This window comes from Homo sapiens, chromosome 7 (assembly GCF_000001405.40).
Source record: "Homo sapiens chromosome 7, GRCh38.p14 Primary Assembly".
NCBI classification, from domain to species: domain Eukaryota; kingdom Metazoa; phylum Chordata; class Mammalia; order Primates; family Hominidae; genus Homo; species Homo sapiens.
Genome location: NC_000007.14, coordinates 143,263,352 through 143,283,398, shown reverse-complemented (window position 1 = coordinate 143,283,398; position 20,047 = coordinate 143,263,352). Strand labels below are relative to the sequence as shown.

At 43.0% G+C, this 20,047-nt stretch overlaps 1 protein-coding gene and 1 long non-coding RNA gene across 5 annotated transcripts in view, besides 3 other annotated features; one reads left to right on the top strand and one right to left on the bottom strand.

Moving 5' to 3' along the window:
• The window catches only part of TMEM139-AS1 (TMEM139 antisense RNA 1), a 31,036-nt gene that overhangs the window by 2,936 nt on the left and 8,053 nt on the right, over nt 1–20,047 (top strand). The gene's annotated exons all lie outside the window — the stretch shown is intronic.
• Nucleotides 14,284–19,958, bottom strand: GSTK1 (glutathione S-transferase kappa 1). Of its 4 annotated transcripts, NM_015917.3 has the most exons (8): nt 19,814–19,958; nt 19,232–19,313; nt 18,723–18,851; nt 18,307–18,407; nt 18,103–18,138; nt 15,666–15,782; nt 15,215–15,308; nt 14,284–14,611 (listed from the first exon to the last, which is right to left on the bottom strand). In NM_015917.3, the coding sequence occupies exons 1-8, from the start codon at nt 19,883–19,885 to the stop codon at nt 14,562–14,564; spliced, it is 681 nt and encodes a 226-aa protein (NP_057001.1). In that variant the 5' UTR covers nt 19,886–19,958; the 3' UTR covers nt 14,284–14,561. The 4 variants fall into 4 exon arrangements, with proteins under 4 accessions (NP_057001.1, NP_001137151.1, NP_001137152.1 ...); NM_001143679.2 differs by having other exon boundaries at nt 18,103–18,407; NM_001143680.2 differs by lacking the exon at nt 18,103–18,138.
• Nucleotides 19,711–19,930: an enhancer, noted in NCBI's record as "active region_26791". NCBI's record gives its function as "activates an Ori minimal core promoter by ATAC-STARR-seq in GM12878 lymphoblastoid cells {active_cell/tissue: GM12878}" and the evidence as "EXISTENCE:reporter gene assay evidence [ECO:0000049][PMID:35858748]".
• Nucleotides 19,711–20,043: a biological region, named in NCBI's record as "Sharpr-MPRA regulatory region 7901".
• Nucleotides 19,749–20,043: an enhancer, noted in NCBI's record as "tiled region #7901; HepG2 Activating DNase unmatched - State 1:Tss, and K562 Activating DNase unmatched - State 1:Tss". NCBI's record gives its function as "activates a minimal TATA promoter and a strong SV40 promoter by Sharpr-MPRA in HepG2 and K562 cells {active_cell/tissue: HepG2 | K562}" and the evidence as "EXISTENCE:reporter gene assay evidence [ECO:0000049][PMID:27701403]".

Here is a 20,047-nt window from a genome sequence, read left to right as displayed (position 1 = left end):
TACGATAGACAAGAACTGGATCCCAACTGGAGAGGCTAGACTGGTGGCTGGCTGTGCCCGTTCATACATTCTCAATTCCAGTAATGTAAAATCAATTTTTAAAAATTGCATTTGTTAAAAGAAAAAACATGACAATATTTAAAAGCTAAAGAAAAAAAAATTGTCTATCTTCTCATTATCCTAACACGGCCATTTAAAACGTTTATATATTTCTTCCAGACTGTCCACATGCAAACCAGAATATACTAACCACTTTGTATCTTTAAAAAGTTTTATACTTTATATTGTATATATTTCACCCTGATAAAGACCTTATTGTAGTAATTTCAAACAGCCATGTAATATTTCATTGAATCGATATGCCATAATTTGATTAATATACCCTCATGATACGTTGCTCAATAACACTGAGCCTATTTCACTCAATATTTTTGGCCATTAAAATAATGCAGGTTGCCGGGCGCGGTGGCTCACGCCTGTAATCCCAGTACTTTGGGAGGCCGAGGCGGACTATCGCGAGGTCAGGAGTTCGAGACCAGCCTGGCCAACATGATGAAACCCCATCTCTACTAAAAATACAAAAAGGAGCTGGGCATGGAGGTGTGTGCCTGTAATCCCAGCTACTCGGGCGGCTGAGGCAGGAGAATTGCTTGAACTGGGACCCGGGAGGCGAAGGTTGTGGTGAACCGAGGTTGCGCCATTGCACTCCAGCCTGGGCAACAAGAGTGAAACTCTGTCTCAAAAAATAAAATAATTAAAAAATAATAATAATAATAATGCAGGCTGGGCGCAGTGGCTCATGCCTGTAATCCCAACACTTTGGGAGGCTGAGGTGGGCGGATTGCTTGAGCACAGGAGTTTGAGACCAGCCTGGGCAACATGACGAAACCATGTCTCTCCAAAAAAAAAAAAATACAAAAATTAGCTGGGTATGGTGGCGCACGCCTATAGTTCCAGCTACTCAGGAGGCTGAAGTGGGAGGACCGCTTGAGCCCTGGAGGTTGAGGCTGCAGTGAGCTGTGATCATGCCACAAAAAAATACAAAAATTAGCTGGAGGTGGCGGCACACGCCTATAGTTCCAGGTACACAGGAGGCTGAGGTGGGTGGATTGCTTGAGTCATGGAGGTCGAGGCTTCAGTGAGCCGTGATCATGCCATTGCATTCCAGCCTGTCTGCATTCCAGACCCTGTCTCAAAAATTAATATAATAATAATAATAATAATAATAATAATAATACAAGAGACAGAAAGTAGATTAGAATTTGCTAGGGGTGGGGAGGCAGAGGAAGAAATGGAGAGTAACTGCAAATGAGTTTCATATTGGGGTGGTGAAAATTTCTAAAATTATATAATGGTGATGCTTGCACAACTCTGAATAATTCTTTAAAAAACCCCACTGCATTGTACACTTTAAAAGGATGAATTATACCTTTGTCAATCAAGGAAAATGACTGAGGCAAGTCTCAATTATTTTAGGAGATTTGCCAAAGTTAAGGAAGGGCACCCGGGAGACAAGTCTATGCCTTTTTTTAAAGATGATTTTGGTGGCTTCAATATTTAATGCCTTTGTCTGGCTCAGTGAATCTGCATTTTTACATAAGATAATGTAGATAATAGGGCAGAGGAAACAATCAGATATGCATTTGTCTCAGTGGGCAGAGGGATGACTTTCATTTCTGTCCTGTGTTCCCCCACCTGTGAAGATAAGCTATCAATTTACATTGCCATGGTGAACCTTAGCTGAAATGCTTTAGGGTAAAGATCTTGGTTACCATAAAGAATTTCCTTGTAGGCAAAGTGTGAGGGAGGTGTGTAGCTTTTCATCTTTGTAGCCATCTTATTCGGAAACCAAAATGGGGCTGGGTGCAGTGGCTCATGCCTGTAATCCCAGCACTTTGGGAGGCCGAGGTGGGCAGATCAGGATCACGAGGTCAGGAGTTTGAGACCAGCCTGGCTAATGTGATGAAACCCCATCTCTACTAAAATTATAAAAATTAGCCGGTGTAGTGGCGCGTGCCTGTAATCCCAGCTACTCGGGAGGCTGAGGCAGGAGAATTGCTTGAACCCGGGAGACAGAGGTTGCAGTGAGCCGAGATTGTGCCACTGCACTCCAGCCTGGGTGACAGAGTGAGACTTGGTCTCAAAACACAAAAACAAAAACAAAAACAAAACACAACAAAAAACCAAAGAAACCAAAATGGGAGGCAGGTTTGCATGACCCAGTTCCCAGCTTGACTTTTCCCTCTGGCTTAGTAAGTTTGGGATCCCAAGATTTATTTTCCTTTCACACCTTAAGAAAACTGTTTAAAAACTAATGCAATAAACATCTTATGTATAGTTTTCCTTTTGTTTTGGATTATTTCCTCAGGATGAATTTTAAGAAATGTCATTATCAAGAGACAAGCAATAGGAAAGTTTTTATTGTCCCGAATGCATATGGCCAAATTGCTTCCCAAAGGTTTTGCTTTCCTTTATTTCTTCGTCAACTTAATATCCTTAGCAAAACAGGAATGCATCACTTAATTCAATTGTCATCCACTTTCTACTTGCCTGCCTTTGACAAACCCTACTGGAGATGGAATGACTTCTCCTTGCCCACTCTTCCCAGCTCATTTGGGTGGTTGACGGTGAAGGGAAGTGGAAGGGCAAGGAGAACAAGGGAGAAGTCAAGCTTATTGCCTCCCACTGTGTGCTTGTCTCTGTGGCTTTGTATTTCTGTGATTTTTGTGTTTCTGAATCTGGGAGTGCTTTATAGTATCAACATGTGTAGAATGTTTTGTGCATACTCCTCACTGTGTTAAATACTTTACACAAATTAAGTGATTTAAAATACGTATGCTATACTAAGAGGTAGTTACTGTGATTATGTCCATTTTATAGATGAGGTAAGAAACTTGAGGTATGTGGGTAGCTAATTAAGGGTGGGGTCAGGATTTGAACCCATGGTCTGAACCCAGAATCCTGGCTCTTAAGCACTACACCATCCCACTCTAAATGCTCTCTTGGGCTGCTCTCAAATGATAATTTAACAAAACACTAGAGGCATTCTGAATCATTATTCTGCCCTTCTCTGGAGGAGTGGTTAGATGCTACTTTTCCCCACTATTTGCCATTTTAAGAAAAGGCTGATTTTCAGACAGCACGGGCAGCCAAGGAGATGATCAGAAGGTAAATTAAGGTTATTGACATATAAGGCAGGATAAGGAAATGAAGATTGCAAGCTCTGTATTGGAAGGCTTACCTTTTATCATCTGATTAAGACAACTAAAAAATAGATCAGTTTAAACTGAATAAGCATACAACACACTGCTGGTGACTTCTAAAAAGATATCAGTGACAATAGATACATACCTTTGTGTAGAATCAATTGATTGGACCCACATACACGATCTCATTTGATCCTTATTAACAATCATTTGGGCTGCCTGATTATCACTTTCATTTTACAGAGGAAACAAGCTCAGAGAAAGTACACGATTTCTTTAGTTAGAAGGAAACTCAGAACCTTGACCTTTTAATTCAGCTGGGTGTGTTTTCCCCTTCAGAAATTGCCTTAGTCACAGCTTCTCCAAAATGTGTAAGGAAGGTGGATAAATGGTTTATCATGACATAGGTGAGCAACATTGATATTTTCTAGATGGAAATGCTTTCAAAAAATAATAAATCCTCCAGTATGTAAGGATAAATACATGCACTTACCCCATCAACTAGTTTTAATATTGTACAAAGCTCGCTAAACAAGAACTGAGTGAACAATGGGGTTGAGGCAGTCAGTCTAGCTCAGATACTCGGCATTAAGCCACAAAAACCTTCTGGAATTTGAGAAATTGAGTGTAGTTGTTGCTAAGCAACAACAACAAAAAGAGCATTGTGTTTGTTAGAAATGTCTACAGATAGTGACAGCAGAGTCCCACATGGATATGCCTGTAAATACTAGCAAACAGGAGGCCGTGCAGTTTAAGCACATGTGTTTTGGCCAACCCTGGTTTTCAAATCTCATTTCTACCACTTACTAGCAGTGTGACCTTGGGCAAGTTACTTAACCTTTCTGAGCTTCGGTTACTAATCTGTAAATTGGTGAAAATAAACCCACGTATATCACCCCTTTCCCACACTGCTCCTCCAGCTTGGGGAACTACAGCCAAAGTGAGTCTGGGTCTGACTGTAATGTGCACAACTGTGTGTGGGACCAGCGAGGGGTACCATCCTGTCACTGGGACCTGATTTCACCATGGAGCATTTGTTTGTAACTACATTGTACATAGCCCTGTGCTAACTTCTAAGGGCATCTATCCAGGAGAGGTAACATATTTGACTGTGGTCTCCAGGATTTTCTGATATGGGTAGAGAGATAAGAGATGCATATGAAATAATTAAATAACAATTAAAGACAGTATCTGACAGCCTGGGCAACATAGTGAGACCCTGTCTCTACACACAAAAAAACATTAAAAAATTAGCCAGGTGCAGTGTTGCCTGCCTGTAATCCTAGCTCTTTGGGAGGCTGATGGGGGAGGATTGTCTGAGCCCAAGAGTTCGAGGTTGCAGAAAACTACGACTGTGCCACTACACCCCAGCCTGGGTGACAAGGCAAGATCCTGTCTTTAAAAAAAAGAAGAAGAAGACAGTATCTGAAAAAGTATTAATGTATGTGCCGGGCATGGTGGCTCACGCCTGTAATCCCAGCATTTTGGGAGGCCAAGGCAGGTGGATCATGAGGTCAGGAGTTCGAGACCAGCCTGGCCAACATAGTGAAACCCTGTCTCTACTAAAAATACAAAAATTAGCTGGGCATGGTGGCACGCACCTGTAGTCCCAGCTACTTGGGAGGCTGAGGCAGGAGAATCACTTGAACCCGGGAGGCAGAGGTTGCATTGAGCTGAGATCGTGCCACTGTACTCCAGCCTGGGCAACAGAGCGAGACTTCGTCAAAAAACAAACAAACAAACATAAAAATTAAATATATGGATTACTAAAATATAGTTATTTTAGTTAATTAAAAAATGATCTACACTTTTAGTATAAAATTCAACAGGGAAAAAATTATAATAAAGAGTAAGTCTTTTTTATATCCCCAAACCTCAGTCTCTCAGTCCCGTTCCCATGAGGCAATCTCTTTCCCAACTATTTCTGGGTACCCCCTCCCCAGAGAGAGACCATAAATATGCAAACATAATATATACAGGCTCTCTTTCTTTATACATTTGGGAGCATACCATAGATAATGCTTTATATTTTGCTTTTTCCACCTAACAATATATGTTGGAGATTGTGCCTTATCAACATATGTAGATCAATATGTGTAGACCGTTTTGTTATGAATTACTAAAAGCATACAGAAAAGGGGCCAGGCATGGTGGCTCATGCCTGTAATCCCAGCACTTTGGGAGACTAAGGTGGGCAGATCGCTTTGAGCTCAGGAGTTCGAGACCAGCCTGGGCAACATGGTGGAACCCCGTCTCTAGAAAAAATACAAAAATTAGCCAGGTGTTGGTGGCTCACGCCTATAGTCCCAGCTACATGGGAGGCCAAGGCTGGAGAATCGCTTGAGCTCAGGTAGCAGAGGTTGCAGTGAGCCAAGACTGGGCCACTGCACACCAGCCTGAGTGACAGAGTAAGACCCTGTCTCAAAAAAAAAAAAAAATATATATATATATATGTATATATGTGTGTATATATATGTGTATATATGTATATACATATAACTATACGCACATATATACACATATATATAAGAATTTTACAGTGAACACCTGTGTACTCACCACCTAGATTTTAGCATTAACATTATACTAGTTTTCTATCTACTCATCCCTTTATCCATCCATCAATGCATCTTATTTTTTGATTCATTTTAAAGTAAGTTGCAGACGTCAATACTCTTCTGATTTTATTTTGCAACTTATTTTAGAAGTAATGAGTTCAATATTTGCTTATAGTTAATTTTTTTCCCTTGAAGTAAAATTTGCCTACAGTGAAAAACACAGATTTTTAGGTAGGTCATTCCGTGAGTTTTGGTATATACATACATTTGTGTAATTCAAACTCCTATCAGGATACAAAACATTACTATCACCCAGAAAGTTCCCTCATATATCTTCCCAGTCAATCCTATAGGCAAGAATATTTTTTTCCCATCTATTATATATATTTTTTGAGATGGAGTCTCACTGTGTCTCCCAGGCTGGAGTGCAGTGGTGCAACCTTGGCCCACTGCAACCTCCACCTCCTGGGTTCAAGCGATTCTCATGCCTCGGCCTCCCAAGTAGCTGGGATTACAGGTGCTTGCCACCACACCCAGCTAATTTTCTAATTTTTGTATTTTTAGTAGAGATGAGCTTTTGCCGCGTTGGCCAGGCTGGTCTCAAACTCCTGACTTCATCTATCTGCCTGCCTTAACCTCCCAAAGTGCTAGGATTACAGGTGTGAGCCGCTGCAACTGGCCTATATTTTTTAAAGTATATATATATTTATGTATCTATAATATGTATGATCTATATATATATATATATATATATATATAATATAAATATATATATATATATATTTTGAGACAGAGTCTCACTCTATCGCCCAGGCTGGAGTGCAGTGGTGCGATCTCGGCTCATGCAACCTCTGCCTCCTGGGTTCAAGTGATTCTTCTGCCTCAGCCTCCTAAGTAGCTGGGATTACAGGCACGTGCCACAACACCTGGCTAATTTTTGTAGTTTTAGTAGAGACGGGGTTTCATCATGATGGCCAGGCTGGTCTCAAACTCCTGACCTCAAGTGATCTACCTGCCTCAACCTCCCAAACTGCTGGGATTACATGCGTGAGCCACTGCACCTGGCCTAAAGTATATTGTAAAGCTATAGCTGCCATAGATGGTGATTCCTCTGATGGATCTGGGCACAGTAAATTGAAAACCTTCCCAAAAGGATTCACTTTTCTAGATGCCATTAAGACATTTGTGCCAGGCATGGTGGCTCATGCCTGTAGTCCCAGCACTTTCGGAGGCCAAGGTGGGAGGATCACTTGAGCCCAAGAGTTGGAGACCAGCATGGGCAACATCGTAAAGCTCTGTCTCTACAAGAAATACAAAAATCAGCTGGGCATGGTGGTAAGCACCTGTAGTCCCAGCTACTTGGGAGGCTGAAGTGGGAAAATTGCTTGAGCCCAAGAGGTCGAGGCCACAGTGAGCTGTGTTCAGGCCACTGCACTCCCACCTGGGTGACAGAGTGAGACCCTGTGAACAAATTGCCACAGCTATTTCATCCTTCAGCATCCACCACACTGATCAGTCAGCAGCCATCCACACTGAGGCAAGACCCTCCACTAGCAAAGAGATTATGATTCACTGAAGGCTCAGATGATCATCAGCATTTTTTAGCAACTAAATATTTTTAAACTAAGAAATGTACTTTTTTTAGACATACTGTTGCACACTTAATAAACATTAGTATTGTGTAAATATAACTTTTATATGCACCAAAAAGTTGTGTGACTCACTTTATAGCGATATTCACCTTATTGTAATGGTCTGGAACCAAACCCACAATATCTCTGAGTTGCTCCTTTATTTTAGAGGCATTTAATCAGCATATATTGTATGCTTACAGGGTCAGCTATAGCCACATAATTTATGAAAAACCAATATGCAGGGCTGTGTATTCAGAAATTATTAAGAATTTCAAGACAATGACAGCAGAACATTAAACCATTTTGAGGCCCTGTGTGAATGCATAGGTTTCAAGACCATGAAACCAGCTTTGTGTCCTTAGAACTGTGGGGATAGGATGAAACATGGAATATCACAGAATTATTATCTCAATACATTCTCTGTCTCTCTTGTTTTACAGCATTGATGTAATACTTTTTTAAATTTAAAATTTTATTTTAAATTGACAATAATTGTATATGTGTATAGGATATGGTGTGATGTTTTATATATATATATACACACATTGTGGAATATTACATCAAGCTAATTAACATATCTCCTCATTTACTGGTCATTTTTATATAGTGAGAACATTTAACATCTATTCTTGTAGCAATTTTGAAATATACGATACATGATTATTAATCATGGTCACCATACTGTACAATATATATTAAGAATTGATTCCTCCTAATAGAAACTTTGTACTCTTTGGTCAACATCTCCCCATTGCCCACCCCGCACCCCCAGCCTCTGGTAATCACTGTTCTACTCTCTACTTCTGTTAAGTTCAACTTTTTTAGATTTCACATGTAAGTGAGATCATGCGGTATTTGTCTTTCCATGCCTGGCTTATTTTATTTCAGATTCCTCTATGTAGTAGCAAATGACAGAATTTCTTCCTTTTTAAAGACTAAATAATATTCCATTGTGTGTGTGTGTGTGTGTGTGTGTGTGTGTGTGTGTTTCTGTGTATACAGTCATGCGCCACATAACAATATTTCCACCAGACTACATATAGGATGGTGGTCCCTTAAGATTATAATGGAGCTGAAAAATTCGCATTGCCTAGTGATTTGTGTTACAATTGCCTGCAGTACTCAGTGCAGTAACAGGCTGTACAGGTTTATAGCCCAGGAGCAATAGGCAATACCACATAGCCTATTTGTGTGGTAGGCTATACCTTCTAGGTTTGTGTATGTTCTGTATACTCCATGATGTTCACACAATTACAAAATTAACTAATAATGCATCTCTCAGAACATATCCCCATCATTAAGCAATGCATGACTGTGTATTATACATATCACATTTTTTAACCATTCATTTTGGGTTATTTATTTAAAATTTAATTAAAATAAAATAGAGATGGGGTTTTGACATGTTGCCCAGGTTGGTCTCGAACTCCTGGGCTCAAGCAATCCACCCACCTAGGCTTCCCAAAGTGTTGGGGTTACAGGCCTGAGCCACCATGCCCAGCCTAACCATTCATTTGTTGATGGACACTTAGGTTGACTTCATATTTTGGCTATCGTGAATAAGAGCAAGATATCTCTTTGATACGCTGATTTCATTTCTTTTGGATATATACTCAGAAGTGGGATTGCTGGATCATATGGTAGATCCCTTTTTAGCTTTTAGAGGAACCTCCATACTATTGCCCACAATGGCTGTACTAATTCCTATTCCTGCCAACCCTTTTCTCCACGTCGTCACTAACAGTTATCGTTCAGCTTTTTAATAATAGTCATTATAACAAGATGTGAGGTGCTATCTCATTGTAATTTTGATTTGCATTTCCCTGATGATTAGTTGTTGAACATTTCTCATAAACCTGTTGGCCACTTGTATGTCTTCATTTGAGAAATGTCTGTTCACGTCCTGTAATCATTTTTCAGTTGGGTGATTTGTTTTCTTGCTATTGAGTTTCTTTTATATTTTGGATATTAACCTCTTATCAGATGTATGGTTTAAAAATATTTTCTCCCAATCCGTGGGTTTACATTCTTTGTTAAAAACATTTTTATTATGGAAATATCTCAATACACATAATATAGTATAAATAACTCCCCATGTATCCATCACTCGGCTTTAACGATAATTAACATCTTGTCACTCTTGTTTCATCTATTCCTTCTGACCTGCCACATTTTAAAAAGCATCATGTGATTTCTATCCTAATTTTTTTTTTTTTTTTTTTTTTTGAGACGGAGTCTTGCTCTGTTGCCAGGCTGGAGTGCATGCAATGCTGCGATCTTGGCTCACTGCAACCTCCGCCTCCCGGGTTCAAGCGATTCTCCTGCCTCAGCCTCCCAAGTAGCTGGGACTACAGGTGCGTGCCACCATGCCCAGCTAACTTTTGTATTTTTAGTAGAAATGAGGTTTCACCATGTTGGCCAGGATGGTCTCAATCTCTTGACCTCGTGATCTGTCTACGTCGGCCTCCCAGAGTGCTGGGATTACAGGTGTGAGCTAGCGTGCCTGGCCCTATCCTAAATATTTCAAAATGAATTACAACCAATGAAAAGTTTTTTTTTTTTTTGTGCACAGCCACTCAGCTATTATCACATAATGAAATTAACATTAATTCTTTAATATCACCTTTCACTCCGTATCATTTTCCCCATTGTCTCAAAAATGTATTCTTACTCTGTAAATTCTTTTAAAATCTATTGTTAAAAACAATATGAGAAATTTTCAAAGGAGTCTAGTTAGAAAGTAGGCAAAAGACATGAACAGACATTTTACTGACGACCATGTACAGATGGCAAGTAGCACATGAAAAGATGTTCATTAGTCATTGGGGAGATGCAAATTAAAAATCACAGTGAGCTATCACTACCCACCTATCAGAATGATTAAAGTAAGAAACAGTAGTAACACTAAATGCTGGTGAGGCTGTGGACAAACTGGATCACTCATGCGTTGCTGGTGGAAAAGTGAAACCAGCTACTCTGGAAAACAGTATGGCAGTTTCTTTTCTTCTCTTTTTTTCTTTTCTTTTCCCTTCCTCCCTCCCTCCCTCCCTTCCTTCCTTCCCTCCCTCTCTCTTTCCTTTCCCTTCCTTCCTTCTTCTTTCCTTTTTTTTGTTTGTTTTTGTTTTTTTGAGACAGGGTCTGGCTCTGTTGCCCAAGCTGGAGTGCAGTGGCGTGATCATAGCTGACTTCAACCTCCGCCTCACAGGCTCAAGGGATCCTCCCACTGTAGCCTCCCAATTAGCTGGGACTGCAGGCACACATCACCATGTCTGGCTTTTTCTTTTTTCTTTTTTTGGAGATGGGGTTTCGCCATGTTGCCCTGGCTGGTCTTGAATTCCTGGGCTCAAGTCATCCTTCTGCCTTGTTCTCCCAAAGTGCTGGGATTACAGATGGGAGCCATCATGCACCCAGCCTTGACAGTTTCTTCTAAAACTAAGCATGGACTTACCATGGGACCCAGTGGTTGTGTTCCTAAGCATTTACCCAGAGAAATGAAAATAAAAACCTGTACATGAACACACAGAGTAGCTTTATTTGTAAGAACCTGAAACTGGAAACAACCCAAGTGTCCTTCAACAGGCGAATGTTTAAACACACTATGTTACATCCATACTATAGAATATTAATACTATTCAGCAATAAAAAGGAATAAACTCTCGATACATGTCAAAACCTTGGATAGATCTCAAAGGGATTGTGCTGAATGAAAACAATCAAATCTGATTCCATTTATGTAGCATTTTTGAAATGACAAGACATAAAGATCAGATTAGTGACTGCCAAGGGTTAGGGAAGTACAGGGAGGGAGGGAGGTAGCTGTGGCTATAAAAGGGTAGCATGAGAAATCTTTACACTGAAAATGTTTTGTATCTTGGCTGTGGTGGTGGTCATCAGCATACATGTGATAAAATTATATAGAACTAAATACAGACACACAATAAGCATGTGTTAAACTGGTGAACTCTGAATAAGGTTGATGGATTGTATCAATGTCAATTTCTTGATTTTTGTCCTATAGTGTGTTATTGTCCTATAGTTATGCAAGAGGTTACCACTGGGGAAAGTATGTGAAGAGTATATGGAATCTCTGTATTATAGCTTACAAAATGGATATATAAAAAATTAGAGAGTAGGAATGGGAATGAGAAAGGGAGGACTCTTCACTTTTTACTTGATACCTTGCTTTTACTGTTTTTACCACATACGTGCATTATTTTTTTAAATTACCATGTGTGTTTGGCTCTGCAAAAAAAAAAAATCATTTCTGGAAACTTCACCTAAGAAAATACATATACAATAAGATTGTTTTGGAAACATACAGCTAGTTGTTAACCTTGGAATTTGAATTACAATGCAAGAAAGTAGTTCAGTATTGAATCTGAGTATTGGCACAATTGCAAATTTCCTATTACAATTATTGATCAGAAGGGAAGAGGGCAAGAAACTAAGAAAAAGTATGAAACCCTCCTTGGATTAGAAAAAAAGAGTGTTTCATTATTAACGCACAGTTGCTTTGAGAGGCTTTCCCCTTTCTTGTTTTGATTCTATTTGGAAGAAGGAGTTCAGAAATTACAATCTGGATCATGAGTGTAAGCATTAGTCTAGAAATTATCTAGTTCCTCCAGAGAAGATTAAAGTCAGCCACTGGATTCAGAAAATAGGATGATAAAGTCTTCAAAGAAAGACTGGGTAGAGCCAGGAAATATGCATCTACAATAAAACATTATCCCACTTAAGCCTGGGAAAAGATTCAGGATTAATTTAAGTAGTTAATACATTTAGAAATCAATGGGCAAGATGCACAGTTGTACTGCAATGTGAATCTACAATTTTTTTTTTTTGAGATGGAATCTCACTCTGTCGCCCAGGCTGGAGTGCAGTGACCCGATCTCGGCTCACTGCAACCTCCGCCTCCCAGGTTCAAGCGATTCTCCCGCATAAGCCTCCTGAGTACCTGGGATTGCAGGTGTGCACCATCACACACAGCTTAATTTTTGTATTTTTAGTAGAGATGGGGTTTCACCATGATGGTCAGGCTGGTCTCAAACTGCTGACCTCAAGTGATCCACCTGCCTCAGTCTCCCAAAGTGCTGGGATTACAGGCATGAGCCACTGCGCCCGGCCAAATTTTTTATTTTTCATTTTTATTATTTTGTGTATCAGAATACATTTTAAAAAATCAAAAATTGTAAAAGTATACAAATAAAATGGAAAGATTTTGATGTATTTTATCTCAGAATAATGTCCTCTGTATTATGTTTTTATTCATCAGGACATATTGAGATCATACCATATAGTTTCATCTTTTTCCAATCAATATTATATCTCAAGAATTTCCAATGTTCTTAACAATTCTTCAGAAATACAATTTTTTTTTGAGACAGAGTTTCGCTCTTGTTGCCCAAGCTGGAGTGCAATAGTGCAATCTCAGCTCACCACAACCTCTGCCTCCCGGGTTCAAGCGATTCTCCTGCCTCAGCCTCCCGAGTAGCTGGGATTACAGGCACGTGCCACCACACCCGGTTACTTTTTTGTATTTTTAGTAGAAACAGGGTTTTACCATGTTAGCCAGTCTGGTCTCGAACTCCTGACCTCAGGTGATCCGCCTGCCTTGGCCTCCCAAAGTGCTGGGATTACAGGTGTGAGCCACCGTGCTGGCCCTCATATACAATTTTTGATGACTGTAAAACATTATCTCCTGAATGTGCCATAATTGATTAAAGTATTCTCCTCCTGATAGGTGTTCAAGTTGTTCACAATTTTTGATATCCACATATAGTGCTGAGACAAGCATCTTTATTCATAAAACTGGTTCCACTCACCCTGCTCTGGGCAGCTTAGTTTTGTCTTAATTTGCCCTTATGGTTTTTAAGATTGGACATCTTCCCATATTTTTATTTTATACTAGCTGTACATCCCATGAAACTCCTTTGAAGAAAAGGAGTACTTAATTTGGAGATGTTCTTTTGCCATTACTTCACAGATAAGTTGGGTAAAGATGATTTTAAATCCTGGAGGATGCTAGAGACATGGAAAAGGTGAGAGAGGAAGACAGAAATTAATGGGAGATAAAAGGGGAAAATGGACTATGGGAAGAGCCAGACCCAGAGGGAGGGATGGAAGGGAAAGTGGCATTGCTCCTGAAACTCCTCCGGGCTATGTAAGGCTCCGTACTTGGTTCCCAACAATGGATCCAAGTGAGGTTTCAGCTTCCAAATACAGAGTATTCTTAAAGAAGTCAAAATACTATTGAAACAAGGGATTCTGATCATTGCACAATGGGCACAGCTAGAGGCAGGGACTTTGGGTCAATTACTGGGGGAATGGAAAAGTTATATGTATGTAGTAGGGAACAGGGGTTATACTAGGTTAGGCAGAGAAGCCTTGGAGTTTTCTCAGAATCTGCACTGAGGGTTAAGGGAGGTATCTATGAAAGGGTGTGCAACTTCCCCAAACCGCAGCAACTCCAGCCAGTTTCCCGGTACTGCCTTGCCCTGGTTTTGCAGGTGTGGCTGGACCCAGTTTAAATATCTGGCCACAAGCTCAGCCAGACTCTGGTTCCCTCGGCTGTTCACTCCCACTGGGCTTCTGGTCCCAGCCCCATCTCAGTCACTGTGGTTGGTCAGAAGACAGTAAATCCCAAACTTGATTAGTTGCAAAGTCCATCTGGCTTGGTTTTCTGTTGCTGATAGAGAGACCAGGGGAGTTTCTGTGTGAGAGAACGGGGGACTATTCTCACTTCTTCCACCGCACAAGCTGCTCAAGGTGGGCTGCATGGCTGGTCTGGCTGGAAATACTGAAACAGCTCTCCTTCACCTACCCCTAGAGTAGGCAGGATGTGACCCCAGGAATGAGAATATACCAGGGCAGATACAGACACAGAAATGTTTTGCCTGATGGCATTAGGTTTATTTTGTGGGAAAGCAGAATTGGGGCTCTCTGAAAGGCACTTGTGAGGCATAGAAGTAAAGGTTGCCACATGGCTAATGGTGGACGTCTTCCTGGCATCCTTGGGGGTAGGGGAAAGACAGACAGCTCCCAGGGCCACAGAAAATACCTCTATCAGATAGAGAAATCCGAGTCCCAGTGCCTTATGGTGGAGCCAAGGGTTAAGCAGATGGCCTGCTTTTTTTATACGAAGAGTTTGCTTCCTCCGGGCAATCTTAAAGTCTGGCATTCACGGCTGGAGGTATAGGGCCCATCCACTTCTCTCCTGGATGAAGAAAACAACAGACTCTGCACACTGTTCTCAGGTGTTCTGGCAGCAGGAGTTGGTCCCACAAGGTCCCAGGGGTTTTCTAGAAAGACTTTTGCTTGGCTTCAAGGTATAGAAGGCTTCCTTTTCTTTTATGGGGTTGAAGACAGCCCCTGCCCACTCAACCTTGAACAGCACTGACTGCATAACGCTTTGTTACTGGAAGTGCCAAGAATATTTTTTTGCTCTGAGCCCCTCCTTCTGGTCAACTGATATAGTGGGTGTGGAGCTGGGGTCAAAGGCAGCTCAGGGTTGAATCTTTTTATTTTTTGAGACGGAGTCTTGCTTTGTCACCCAGGCTGGAGTGCAGTGGCGCGATCTCGGCTCACTGCAACCTCCGCCTCCCAGGTTCAAGTGATTCTCCTGCCTCAGCCTCCCACTGAGGCAGCTGTAGTCCCAGCTAATTTTTATATTTTTAGTAGAGACGGGGTTTCACCATGTTGGCCAGGATGGTCTTAATCTCCTGAACTCGTGCTCTGCTCGCCTCAGCCTACCAAAGTGCTGGGATTACAGGCGTGAGCCACTGCACCTGGCTCAGGGTTGATTCTTTAACTTACTTACCCAGCAGGTGCGCCAGCAGCTCCATCCGGTCAGAGCCAAATAACATGTGGGTTTGGCCATCCACATGGGCCACGGTGATGGGCAGCCCAAAGGCCTGGAGAAAGCAGTTACAATGCAAGGAGGAAGGCAAAGGAGCAGGTATTAGGCAGGGGTTGAAACCTTTGAGTCAGTACTTTTCTGAGTTCACAGAAGCAAAGAGGTCTAAGAGGCTCTGTGGCCCCAGGTGCCTTCCTGTTTCTAAGATGCTCTCTTTTCTCTCACTGTGCATCTCCTTCCCTTCCTTTCCCTGAGCCCAAGGAAAAGAAGGAAGAAGATGAGGGTTGTTTAAGAGCACTGAGGAGAACACTTGGAAAGGGGGCTTTTGTACAGGAGCATAAGGACTCAAACTTAGAGATTCTCAAGTCTCCATCTTCAGGATGGGTGCTGGGAACACACATAAAGAGCTGCTCACTCCGTATCTGCAGGCTGCCTCAGTGGTCTCCTTGAGCTGGTTCTTCACCTTTGGCGTTGCGATCTTTTCCAGAAGTCCCTGGGCTTGTTCTGCAGACATACCAGCCTTCTCTGCAGCCTAAGGGAATATAGTAGGGAATACAACTGTGTCTGCATGATATTGGATGGGGATCTCAGAGGAAAACTCTGGTCTTTTTATTTTCTGCCCCCAAGTTTTGCTGGCAATGCCCTTACCCACCCACAAGTGGAGATCTGTCCTTGCCAAGAGGAACTATTTCCTTTATCCCAAATCTTGAGATGGGTGGAAAAGGAGAAAAGGTAGATGGCACAGAGTCAATCACAGAAATTAACACCAGCGGACATCTTAGAGAGCAGCTAGATAGACCTCTTTATTTCACAAATGAAGAGCCTGAATCCAGAGGTGATACATTACTTGCTCAGAGTTACAGAGCATGTTGGTAGCAGAGCCAACACTAGAATCCAGGTCTCTAGAATTCAAGTCCAGGGCTCTTTCCTTCCTACCTCTCACAGTTCCTAAGTATCTCATGCTTTTTTTGAATCAAGAGCTAGGCTGTAATTCCAGTGGAACTTCCTGAGAACTTTGTAACAAGGCACATGGCTGCAGCCACCTACCTGGCTTCAAGACAAAGATAAAGGCTTCAGTTTGTGGTTTGTTGGTATAGTTTGGGATAGATGGTTCTTAACTTTGGCTGCCCATCTGAAACTCCTGAGGAGCTTTAAAAAATCTCCACGTGAGGTCATCCCTTAGAACTAGATCCAAGCACTGTGGCTCATGCCTGTAATTCTAGCACTTTGGGAGACTGAGGCAGGAGATTGCTTCAGCCCAGGAGTTCGAGACCAGCCTGGGCAGCAAAGTGAAACCCCCATCTCTACAAAAAATTTTTAAAAAATTAGGCATGGTGGCACATGCTTGAAGTCCCAGCTACTCGTAAGGCTGAGATGCGAGATCACTTGAGCCCAAGAGGTTGAGTCTGCAGTGAGCCATGATCATGCCACTGCACCCCAGCCTGGGTGACAAAGCAAGACACTGTCTCAAAAAAAAAAAAAAAAAAAAAAAAAAGAAAGAAAGAAAAAAAAGAACAAGAACAATTACATCACAATTCCAGGGGAAAGGGTTAGCGCCAAGGTGCTCCAGGTGATTTTAATTCACAGCCAAGATTGACAACCACTGCAACTTGACTTCCTAGATCAGAAGTGGGACCCAGGAATTCATGTAGCCTGTCCTAATGAGACACTATCTTTGACTTGGTTAAATTAGAGAATTATGTCCTACACAAAATGTTTAACCACAGAAAAATGGTTAAGCAAAACAAAAATAAGTCCACTCAGTGGAACCTCTATAGAAACAAAGAACTATACTTTCAGAGTTAAGAATTCCATGGAGGCTGGGCACAGTGGCTCATTCCTGTAAACACAGCACTTTGGGAGGTGGAGGCAGACAGATCTCTTGAGCACAGGAGTTTGAGACCAGCCTGGGCAACACAGTGAAACCCCTTCTCTACAAAAAATAAAAAAGTTAGCCAGACATGGTAGTGTGTGCCTGTAGTCCCAGCTACTCAGGAGACTGAGGTGGGAAGATTGCTTGAGTCCAGGAGGCAAAGGGTACAGTGGGTCGAGGTCACACCACTGCACTCCAGCCTGGGCGACAGAGCCAGACCGTGTCTCAAAAAAAAAAAAAAAAAAAAAAAAAGCATGGAAAATGATTAAATATGAAGTAAAAAAGCAAGCTAAAAATTACACATGTACTTTGCAGGAGTATAGACTGTAGAAGATATATTTGCCATTCCTTATACGTTTAACTTTTGTGTGATTTGCCACTTTATATATTAAATTTGAATAGGTCTCAACTATTTTTTTTTGTAAACCAGAGGAATAATACTGTTTTGAATTTCCTAATTTAATCCTGAAGACAAACTTACTTTTATACCCCCATCCATGGCTCACTGGTCAATGTTTTGAGCTATTTCCATTTGTTCTCACTCAGGCTCCTATATAACCCTGGCATTAGTTATCTCTTTTCGTCTTTTTAAAGCCTCTTGGAACAAGTCTCCTGCCTTCCACTCTGGATGTGTTGGTGAGGTTTGTGTTGGAGTTTGTGGAGACTTGTGAATACTATATCCCTCCCCATCCAGGGGTTCCAACACTGAGCATCTTTCTCTCACTGACATCTTTCAGCAAATAAATTCTTCCCATATATTGTCCCTTTTGCACTTCCCCTTTCAACCTTGAGATATCCTTTTGAGGATCCTTAGTTCCAACTTTTCAGTAGTTTGTGCCCTGAATCACAGACATCCTTTCTTCCCCAGTAATTATAACCTTTTCCATGCAATAAGAGACCTATTGTCTTCTTTACCCCCAAACGCCAACTGTTCTCAGATTCTCTATGAGTGCAGTTGGGGTGGAGCCAGGACACTCACCGCCAGGATGCTCTGCGGCTCGGTGATGTCTTCATTCTGGGAAGAAGAGAAGACAGCAGGAAGGCGGTGCGGGGAGAGGGGTGTGACTGGGAGGACAGTAGATCCCCCGGGCGGGGGCAGGATCATGACCCTGAAAACGTGCCTGGGGAAGGTCAGAAAGTCATCCAAGGTCCTCCCAGAGGATTCCCAGAGCCCCACACTCACCCTTGACCAGACGCGCATCCACAGCTCCCGGGACGCTTTCTCCAGCATCTCTGGATGCTCCAAGTTCACGGCGGTGAGGAAACGCATGGCAGACAAACTTCCTGTGGGGCAGAGGCACCCAGAGGCAGGGCTCCTCTTGCTGCTTTCCTGGTGGAGGACTAGCTCTTCCTTGCTTCTGACATCCCCCAGAGCTCCTCCGCCCTCAGCCTCTCACCCAAGGTTCCCATGACCTATTTGCCTGCTCTTCTTCCCTTTCATGCCCGGCAACCTTCAGCTCGCTCAAGGCTGATCCTGAGGTTTCCCAAGGCAGGCTTCACTTGCTTTAGTCTCCCGCAGCCCCTCCATCCTATCAATCCCTCAATCTCCGACTTCTGTGTTTTTCACTGGATACCCTGTCTACATCCCACTCTCTTCACCTTTTTCAAGCATCACAGACAAGAAATCCTTGGGGAAGTGGATGGGAATCTGGAGATGGTGTCTCAGGAGCTTTAAGTCATTTGCCATGTATAGTCCTTTGCGGGGAAGCAGACCTGGAGGCTTGTTTCCTGCCAGGAGAAGGTTGGGCACGCTAAGTGAGAAAAGACCTAAGGGTCCCAGGTTTGGGGACCTCGACGTGGGTTTTGGGCAGAGGGCAGCTTCCTTTTTTTTCTCTTGTTGTTTCGCTCTTGTTGCCCAGGCTGGAGTGCAATGGTGCGATCTCAGCTCACCGCAACCTCCGCCTCCTGGGTTCAAGCGATTCTCCCGCCTCAGCCTCCCGAGTAGCTGTGGTATACAGGCATGCACTACCACGCCCGGCTAATTTTGTATTTTTAGTAGAGACGGGGCAGAGGGCAGCTTTCTGGCTGCCAGTGCCAATATAAGGACCCGCTGGGGTCGGCTCTCTTGGGCCACTGAGATCACCCCTGCCCCGACCCTCCCTTCCTACCACTGTCTTTCATGATCCCTGTTATGAGGCTGGGCCGCAACTGCAGGTTGATGTTCCAGATATTCTGATACCGGCACAGGATCTGCGGGCAGAGGTCAAGAACGATTGCCAGTGTGCAAGATGGAAAAGTGAAAGAGCCGAGGGAAAGGGAAGGGAGGCGCTAAGTGCAGAGCAGGGGTTATGCGGACACCCTACATTGTTTGGTTTGAAATTGGCAAAACTCTCCTCACTACTAGAAATCTATTCCAGGATCTTCGCTCCTGTGGCCAGTTTTCCCCAAAACTGCCATCGTTGGGCTAAGAGGTGGCCGTGTTCTGCATTTCTCCCTGAATGTTTGGAGCCGCCCCTCTTTCCACCACCGTGGGAAACTGCAGTCGGGATATAAAGGCTCGGGTTGGAGCCAGCGACTCTATTCCGTTTAAAAGCACAAAGTGACCTTCAGCCCCGGAGCTCTCCCTGCTTGCCTTAACCCCTTGGGCGGCGCCAGGAGTTACACGAGACCTCTGTCCCGGAGCCCTGCGCTCACTCTTCCCTCCGCCCTCACTCCCCAGACACTGCCGAGGCGACCCCTCCCAGCGTCACCTCGAAGCCCAGCCAGGAGTAGGGGGACAGCACGTCATAGAAGAGCTCCACGGTGCGCGGCAGGGGCCCCATGCTGCAGGCTCCGGAAGAGCAGTGGCAGCAGGAGCTCCTTTTCCCGGAACCCGGCAGAGGCTGCCCAGCTTCTGGGCCTGCCTGGGACCGCCCACCGCCTTAGCGCGCAGCCTCAGAGAGAAACTGCCCTGGTAGAGGTCCACCTCCGGCGCAGCGGGGCAG

Bases quoted from the DNA above. Each gene is read 5' to 3' on its own strand.
- GSTK1 (NM_001143679.2), bottom strand. From the start codon at position 19,885: ATGGGGCCCCTGCCGCGCACCGTGGAGCTCTTCTATGACGTGCTGTCC. The intron at 18,852-19,231 runs GTAGGAAGGGAG...TTCTCCTGGCAG, and splicing joins AGGGATCATGAAAGACAGTG to GAAACAAGCCTCCAGGTCTG. The intron at 18,408-18,722 runs GTGAAGAGAGTG...TCTGCCCCACAG, and splicing joins GTCTGTGATGCTTGAAAAAG to GAAGTTTGTCTGCCATGCGT.